Consider the following 9411-nt stretch of genomic DNA (forward strand, 5'->3'; position numbering starts at 1 on the left):
AGGAGAGATCTCACAGCACAATAGGTCAAATGGGAAGAGAACTGGGTAAAGGATAGAACACAAAGGACCACAAAGAACAGAATGAAGGCAATAGAGTCAGAGAAAGTCCAGTCAAGGGAGTAAAAGGAAAACCAGGAAAGGTTTGATTCAGTCTATACGAAGAATAGGGGAGCACGTTGCTTATGGGAACATGGAATGGTTCTTGGTAAGAATTGAGGAACTATTTGCATTTTGAGTCCATTAAGGTGGCTGGGGGCAGTGGTGGGACCAGACATGGGTCTTATTACCAAATAATCCAACCTAGAAGTCTATAGCATTCCTTTCTGATAGTCCCTCCTCCTTGCCCAGCCTCTACTTTAGGTCATACCTTTAAAGTAGCACTAGTTAGTTCTGAGTAGTTGAGGACACTCAGGGCCTCCAAGCAAAAATTTTAGGAAAGGTCTATTTATCCTTCATTAGCCGCAAAATAAACTGATATTCCATGGCCTTGCAGTTCAGGGACTGCTGGGTTGGTGTTTACATGTGTGGTGAGAAATGCTTCCTGCTGTCTCTTCTAAAGACACTCTCTTATGCTTTGCACTTTCTCCAGCCAGTTATTGCACATCAGAAACACCAGGGGAGCTTTCAAAGCTTTGGGCTCCCTGGGGTTCACCCTAGTCCATCTTTATTAGAATCTTCAGTGGTGGAGCACAGGCATTGACATTTTTTAAAAGCACCTCCAGAGTTTCTAATGGGTAGTCAGGACTGTGAGCTACTGATCCAGCCAGACTCAAACCCCATGAGTCATTAACCTTCACCAAGTTAAATAACTAATCCGCCACAAAGGAAAAATCCTGCAAATCTGGAGCAGCTGTCGATAGTGTTATAGAAAGTGATTTGTTTTCATCCTGGAGTCTTCCAGCTGCTGGAGAAGCTGAATAACCCTTTATGGGACTGGACAAATTCGAGAAGGACTAGGACAATGATGTCTGGGCTTGTCTTCTGGGTCCCCTTCAACCTCTGACTACAGTATTGCAGTATTGCTACCTAAAGAGCCAGGGTGGAGATTTCAGCAAACATTTGGTAATAAAATCCCAGGGGATTGGATCCTGCCGCATGCACACCCCTATGAAGATTCCACTGGGCCAGAATTCCACGGCTGCACATGTTCTGACTCGCAAATTCTTAGACCCATCTTCACCTGGAGAGAGGTCAAAGGTGATGTGCTGGTAATTGTGAATCTGCCTTAATTATGGCAAGTTAAGTTTTGCTAAGAGCAGATTTTTGGGTCCAGCACTGTCCTACACAATCTAGCCAATTCTAAGCCCCAATGAATCAAAGAACTGTTAAGCTCTGCCAATCAGCTGGGCTCCCACGTGTGACCTGCAGCCACTCACACTCAAGCATCAGACATTTGTCTGTATTCCTTTTGGTCAAACAGAATATTCACCACTCTCCAGTTCTGTGGACACCTGCCTAGGTGAACACTGGCAGCCATGAAATTCTGTCCCAGTGGAATTTTCACAGTGGTGTAACCCACAGGCAGGGTTCTTAAGGCTTCAAAGGGCAGAAGGACAAGCTCACCTTTCTCCTAAGCTATATCAGCTTTTTTTAATCCACAGGAGATGCCGATTTTCTGCGTTTGCAACAGCCAAATGAGTTTTGTCCTATGCACAAGACAAGTTGTAATTTATCAAATCCACTCATACTCTTTTCCCTTGCTTTTTACCCAGACAAAGAATGCAGCAGAGAGGTTATTAAATTCTTTTCTAGGGGTGAAATATATAAAAAAGCTGTGTGAGTCAGTAATGCACTCCAAGAATTTAAGTAAATTTGTTATGCTTGATCTCACTGTTATGAAGCCAAATTTGCCGCTCTTTACAAGATAATACACAAAAATATATATTCAGCACACACAGCCCCTAATATTCCCTGCTGCTCTCAACAATAGGAGCTGAGCTTCCTGCTTTAGCTCATATTTTTCTGAATAAGAGGAAATGTATGAACAATTTTCTGTTCCTTCGTCTTGTGCCTGGAATTTCAACCACATTCCTAGAAGGCTTTTCAGTGGTTCTTCCCCATAGTTCAGTGATTCTACTGGGCTACTGTATTTATTCACATTTAATGGTACAGAAAGTCCCACTTTTAGATACAATGCACACTTGGAAACTGTCTTAGAAGTGACTTGCATATAAATGAAATTGACTGCATGTATGATAATTCTGCCTTTGCTTATCTGGTTATCAAAGAAATAAATGTTTATAGAACATTTGTTTATGGAGCCCCTAATATGTTCCAAGCTCTGTACAGGACACTTCACTACATTAGTTCATGTAATTCTCACAGTAGCCTTGCAAGATAGATATTATCTCAGTTTATAGATGATAAGACAGTGTCAAGAGATATTATATTTCCTGCTCAAGATCAGACATTGCCAAATGTCCCCTGGGGGACAAAACTGCCCCTCAGTGAGAACCACTGACCTTGACCATAGGAGTGTGAAAGTAGCTGTACCTAAACACATCCACTTTCAAGTCTTCTTTGAGCCTCATAATGTCGAGTTCAGCCCTTTGCCGTCAGTGGCAGGCCGGCCCCATCTTAATGTGAATGTGCAAAGGTCAGCAGATATGCCATGTCAGGTAGGAAACAGAATTTTGTGTTAGTGCATTCCCACACTGCTATAAAGACATACCTGAGACTGGGTAACTTACGATGAAAAGAGGTTTAATTGGCTCATGGTTCTGTAGGCTATACAGGTTTCTGCTTCTGGGGAGGCCTTAGGAAATTTACATAGTAGAAGGGGAAGGGGAAGAAAGCACATCTTCACATGGCCAACAGGAGAGAGAGAGTGGGGGCGGGGCAGTGCTACACACTTTTAAACAAGCAGATCTCAAGATCTCATGAGAACTCTATCATGAGACTGCAATAGGGGGATGGTGCTTAACCATTAGAAACTACCCCCGTGATCCAATCACCTCCAACCAGCCTCCACCTCTAACATATTGGGGATTACAATTCAACATGAGATTTGAGTGGGGATACAGAGCCGAACCATATCAACTTTGAAATGTCATTTTGCTTCCACTGTCCCTGAGCTTTCTCTGCTGGGAGCTGTAGGCCGTGGTTATAGGTGACACAACTCTGGCCCTGCACCTTGTTGTACAAAGTCAAGGCACTGGGTGATCGGTAGACTGCACATTAGGATTCCTCTTGGAAGCCATTACTCTGTCAGGACAGCTAGCAATAACTTTGTTATATATGGAAGTGACTGCCAACCATGTAAATATATCCACCTAACTTCAAATTATATTCCCAACTCAATTTACCTTTAACTGTATCTCCAAAATGCTCATGGCCATCCCAGTGCCACCAGATATGAAAGAAGGTATGATGGAGGAGAAGTCAAAGAAGAAATACTGGTCCTGACCAATTGAGATTAAAATATTTGACTTTTGAAAATTTCACAATAACAAAGTGACTGTGGAGAAATATTACTAGGTCCCTCCAGGAATGTGGAAGTAGCCTGTGTAGGTGAAGGGTTGTGAAGCTTAAATTTTGTTAGCTTCACAGTAAAGACACCTTATTAGGCAGCCTTTGCTTACTCTTCTCCCTGCCTCTCATTATCTTGTTTGATATAAAAGAGTATTTGTGAATAAGCAAGGGTGACAGGTTATTTCTTGGCTTTTGACCTAGGATCCCTGGTAGTGTGAAACATGTAGGCTTAGTCTAAGACCTAGACCCCTTTTTAGATTTGCATATTTGTCAAAGGTGAAAGAATAAATTTCTCAAAATTTGTCAGTCTTGAGTTGAGGGATAGCAAGGACACATGAGCATCTGTCAAGATTGTCACTGTATTGGCCCCAGAGGTATGCTGTGGGGGGATTCAAGATGTATACAGCCAAATACAGAGGGAAAGAATGGAAAGTGCCCTAAAATCTTTTGGTGGAAGGTCTGCCCTGATAAGAACCTTGGAACTAATCGCCCCTATGACAATTTGCTGGTTTCCCATGGCCAGAGCCAGCCTTCTGGAGGCCAGCACTGAGAACACAGAAAAAGAGGGCTCAGGCAGCAGGTCAGCAAGAGACCAGCTTATGAGTGACCAAGATGGACAGCTTCTTCTCAGCTCCACCAGAGTTGGGCCAATTAAAAAGATGATCACAGCACTGCCGCCCTCAGGTGTGCGACTCAGTGGAGTTGAGGTGCTGCAACTCAATGGAATGGGTTGGGAAAAATAGAAGATAGAGAAGGAAGACAGAGCTGGTTGGGAAAAATGCAAGGAAAGTACAGAAAGGAATGACATTGTTATAATTTCAAAATCAGACTGGGAAAGAGTTAACCATTCCAGATTTATTTATTTATTTATTTATTTATTTATATTTATTTATTTATGAGATGGTGTCTTGCTCTGACGCCTAGGCTGGAGTGCAGTGGTGCAATCTTGCTCACTGCAGCTTCCACCTCCCCTCGCGGGTTCAAGTGATTCTCCTGCCTCAGCCTCCGGAGTAGCCAGGACTACAGGCATACGCCACCACACCCAGCTAATTTTTATTTATTTTTATTTTTTATTTTTTGTATTTTTACTAGAGACAGGGTTTCACCGTGTTGGTCAGGCTGATCTTGAACTCCTGATCTCAAATGATCCGCCTGCCTCGGACTCCCAAAGTGCTGGGATTACAGGCGTGAGCCACTGAGCCTGGCCCCCAGATTTAATTTGAAAAATCACATTGGAATATGAAAACTGAACGGATCATATTATTTTACCTACTCCAGGGCCGTTTGGAGGCTCAGAGCCAGAAATTAAAGTCAGCTCTAGATATTAAGAAAGCTACATTTATTTTATTTTATTTTATTTTATTTTTTTCGTATTGAAGCCTGGTATTTTTGAAGTATTTATTATATCTGTTAAATCAGGATCAAGCTACTGTTGCACCACAGAAATCTCTTAATTAGTTCCCTTAGACTGTATTCCCTGGGCTGAGTTTCTCCTGGGAGACTGGGAGGCTGGAGGGGTCAGGAGGAGTGATGTTGAAATGCTGGGACAGTTGGCTTAAGGAGAGCAAATGTGGTGCTCTCTTCAGTAAACAGCGCCAGACGACTGAATTTTGTGACCTGGTACCAGGAGTACTGCTGCAAGCATTGATGTGACATCTTCACCCAATCCTGAGTAGTACCTAGAGCAGATGCATCTCCCCTTCATCGTTACTCATCTTAAGCCCTGCCTTGGAGTAAAGATAAAGATGGGGCATGATTTGAAGTCTCTAGGGAGAGACTTGGAGTCTCTTGCTCTGCCTTAGGAGTGGGAGCTGCCCTCTTGGGACTAAAGCGAAGACTGCCTGGGTCAAAGTCATCATTTCTAAGCAGAAAATGGGCCTTTTACACTGTGATTTATGTTCTTCACAATTCAATATAACACAGCATCTTCTGCAGCTTCTATGAGAGTGTTTTTGAAAATTTCGTCCACTTGCACCTCATGAAAAATGCAAGTAGGTAGCACACAGAGCCCTCAGTGCTAAGGAGCATAGGTCTCGCCCCTAGAAAAGCCATATTTTTTTCGGCAGTGCCTAGACAGACCAGTTGCATCTGTTTTTGATGGGAAGCAAGGATGACTTCTCTTAGAAGTCGTGAGGGAGGAAATGGGAATCTCTCAGTGGGCTCTGGTTCTTACAGAAAGGAGAAATGTGTGTTCAGAAATAGGGAGAATGATCAAACACATGATGTTTTGTTTAGGAGTCTATGTAGCTCTTACCTTGCAACCAGAACTTCTGATCCAGAAACACATCTTCTATTCTGCCTACTACCTGGAGATCAGAGCCCAAAGGAAGGTGGGAGGAATGATTTTATTTCTTTGAATGAATATGCTTTCTAATATCCTTTTGCCTGGTGGCTCTTAGGTAGTCTTGCAAGCAGCCAGTGGGAGTGATACAGAGTTTGGAAGCATTGCACTCTATGAGGATAAAATGTAACAGAGACAGGAAGCCCTTTCCCTCTGCTAGAAACAGGGTGCAGCAGCTGATGTCCTAGTATTTGGCTACTGAGAGGGATGAGTAGCATTCATATTTTACAAGTGAATCTTGAGACAGTGGCATGGAAAAAAATCATGTGGGTGGGCCTTGTGCCTGCCAAAGCTTTGCATGTAGAAGACAGGCTGGCAGCCCCAGAGGAAGTGGCTGAGAGCATCAATGTGGTGTCGGGGAGCAGCTAAGATCAGGGAATAAAGAGACTTAAGGCTGATTCCCGGCTCTGCCCTCTCTTGCTTAAGGAGCTGAGGCCAATAACCATACCTCTTTTGCCTCAGTTTCCCGATCTGTGTATTTCATCCATCCAACCAGTATTTATTGAGCCTCTGCTCTGTACCAGGCCTCTGTGTCAGAGACACTGAGTAAAGAGATCTTGGCTTCAAGTTACATACCATCTGATGGGTCAGACAAGACAGCCTCTAAGACCTTTCTAGTCAGATGCTATTTGCTCGATCCTGAGGTTTAGAAACCCTACTGTGAGTTTCCTATAGGATCTCTTCCATACGAATCTCCTCTCTCTCTAAGCGCTTAGCAGAAGTTGTGCTTATCTCCCACGCCTCATTCTTCATCCTCCTGAAGCCCCATCCCCACCCCCTCCCCTTATCAGATGCTCAGGGGTCTCAGCTTTTCCCGTCTCCCAGTTAACAGGTTTCCCGTCATGACATTGCCGAGTCTGTGTGGGCAGATGGGACAAAAGAATTCAGGCTGAGTTATCTGTTATTGATTTGCATGTTTACACATTTAATCTGCTATTCCTTTCAGGTAACATTTGCCTATTAACAGCAATTTCCAGCACATTGATCCAAACATTGATCTCCAGAAAGATTTGATAGTGCTTGAAAACTCATTGATTACAGAGGAGAAATAAAGGAAAGGGAAGTGTCAGAGACTAACACTAAGGATTTGAGTCTGAGTGATTAAAGAAGAATGGCAGTATTAGCAGATAGGGGGATTGGAGTTTGAGAATGTAGTTTGTGTGTGTGTGTGTGTGTGTGTGTGTGTGTGTGTGTGTGTGTGTTTTTGTTTTTTGAGATGGAGTCTCATTCTGTCAACCAGCCTGTAGTGCAGTGGCGCGATCTCAGCTCACTGCAACCTCTGCCTCTCAGGTTCAAGCAATTCTGCCTCAGCCTCCCGAGTAGGTGGGATTACAGGTGCCCACCACCACACCCAGCTAATTTTTGTATTTTTAGTACAGACAGGGTTTCACCATCTTGGCCAGGCTGGTCTTGAACTCCTGACCTCGTGATTCACCCGTCTTGGCCTCCCAAAGTGCTGAGATTACAGGAGTGAGCCACTATGCCCGGCCGTAGTTTTTTTAAAACATAATTTTTATTAATCAAATAATTTGTGGAAATATTATCCTGAGTAAAATATAAAAACATTAGTCATTATTGGCTACCTCCCGATAAACTCAATTCCCTTCTTAGAGGTAAAGACATTGTTTTGAGAAGTAGTTTTATAGACCTTTCTCTATACACTTAAGAACTTAGAACAGTGCCCCCAGTGTAGTAAGCTGTATACAAATTAGCAATTGTTATTTTTCACTGCTGCTTGGATTCCACAGTAGGGATCTACCATAGTTTATTTATACATTACCCTCTATGAATATGCTACTGGGGGAGAGTTTCATTTTCTCCTATTGTAAACAATCCTCTAATGAATGTCCTTGTGTCTGCTTGTTTACACATGTACAAGTGTTTCTCTACGGTAAATGGGGCATTTTGGTATTTACTGTCTGGTATTTACTTGATGGCTATATTGCCATTTAGATATGTTGCCTTCAAAGCGGCAGTGGCCACCCACACAGGGAACTAGTGTTTGTGAGAAGAGAATGAACGTTGTTTGGAATATGTTGGTGTGAATTGTCAGCAGAGCACCTCTTCTTGAAGACCCAGTTGGAGAGAAGGTAGGTTAGAGTTTTAAGACTGGAGATGTGGATTATAGTGGCGACTCTGTAAACTCTCTTAGAAAGTGGGGACAGCGGGGAAGTTGGGTAATCCAAGCAAAACATTGCATGATTGGTTGAGGGAGGGCAAAACTCCTATTATTATGTATAAGGATATGGGATAAAAGCTCTCAGTTAGGATGACCAAACATCCTGTTTTACTGAGACTGAGGGAGCTCTCAGGACATGGGACTGTCAATGCTAAAACTGGATAGTAAGTCCCGGGCAGATGCAGATGAGTTGGCCACCTTACTGTGTGGAGGCTCAATTTCAAAAAGGAGGGACGCTATTTCCTCTAAAACGATAGCAAAGGAGACCCAAAGTAGATGAGTTCCAAGCAGTTAGAAAATGCACAGGTACTGGAGGGAGCAAGGCTCAGCTTCTATGCTAGGGAAAGTTTCTGATGCACAGGATCAGGGCTCAAGGTCTAGTACCATGTGGTGGTTTGGTTATAACCAACAGAAAATGGTTCTGGCTGACTTTGTGGGAGGGAATGTTGAAAGCCTATTAGAGAGTCACAGAAGGAGGAAAAGCTGGAGAGATACCCTTGCAACACTGTAGGTTAGGGAGAAGAAGCCCAGCTACCGTTTTGTGTCAGGGACACCCCAGTCAAAACAGTGGCACACAGACGACCTGGAATTGCCAACACTTTCAGTTCAGTTCAGGGAGGAAGCAGCCAACTGGCCCAGCCCAATACCTGACCAGGAGGGGGTGGGCAACCTGACAGCAGCCCCTCATGATGAATCCAAGAAGTAAGGGGGCTCCTTGGAAAAAATTGGGGTGTTGTGAGGAAGCAGACATTGGTACCAATCAAAAAGGTTAACAAAGTCCCACTATCAATCCCTAAAGACTGGCACTGACTTCCTACACACTCCACATGCCTCGTGTTTATTCATGTCTAGGTATATGTCTGCGCATATATTATGTGCATAGCAGGTGCTCAATACAATCTTGCTGGATATATAAACGAATGGATACTCCTACAGAGGAAAACACACTCCAGTTAGCAGCAAGGAAGATCAGTTCCTGTTCCCTTGCAAACCAGGAGCAACCACAGCCCACGCAAAGCCACAATCTCTGTCTTCACACCAGGGCAGGTCTCACCAGAGGGCATATAAAATGTCCTGAACATGCTGATATAAATCTGCCTCATAGATGTGAGTCACTTTATATAACTGACATCTTCCTAAGCAGTTGTTCTTAAGCTTATTTTTAGGAAAGATAAAATTTCAGATTCGGTAGGAGAGCTTACTGTTCATAGGAATAGCATACAGCAAATCTTTTTCTTTGTTGTATATGACTTCTTTTATAAATCTAGGTTATCTTTATAGATTAGATATTTTTAAAAGCAGAATAAACCCACTGTTGGCCGGCGTGGGGCCGGCGTTAGTTTATTTCAAAAAACCCATTAACTTCTTAGACCCAATTTCATATACACACAGCACCACTGATTGCTGACAAAGTGTTTCT

The sequence above is a fragment of the Homo sapiens genome, chromosome 17 (genome assembly GCF_000001405.40).
Source record: "Homo sapiens chromosome 17, GRCh38.p14 Primary Assembly".
NCBI lineage: Eukaryota > Metazoa > Chordata > Mammalia > Primates > Hominidae > Homo > Homo sapiens.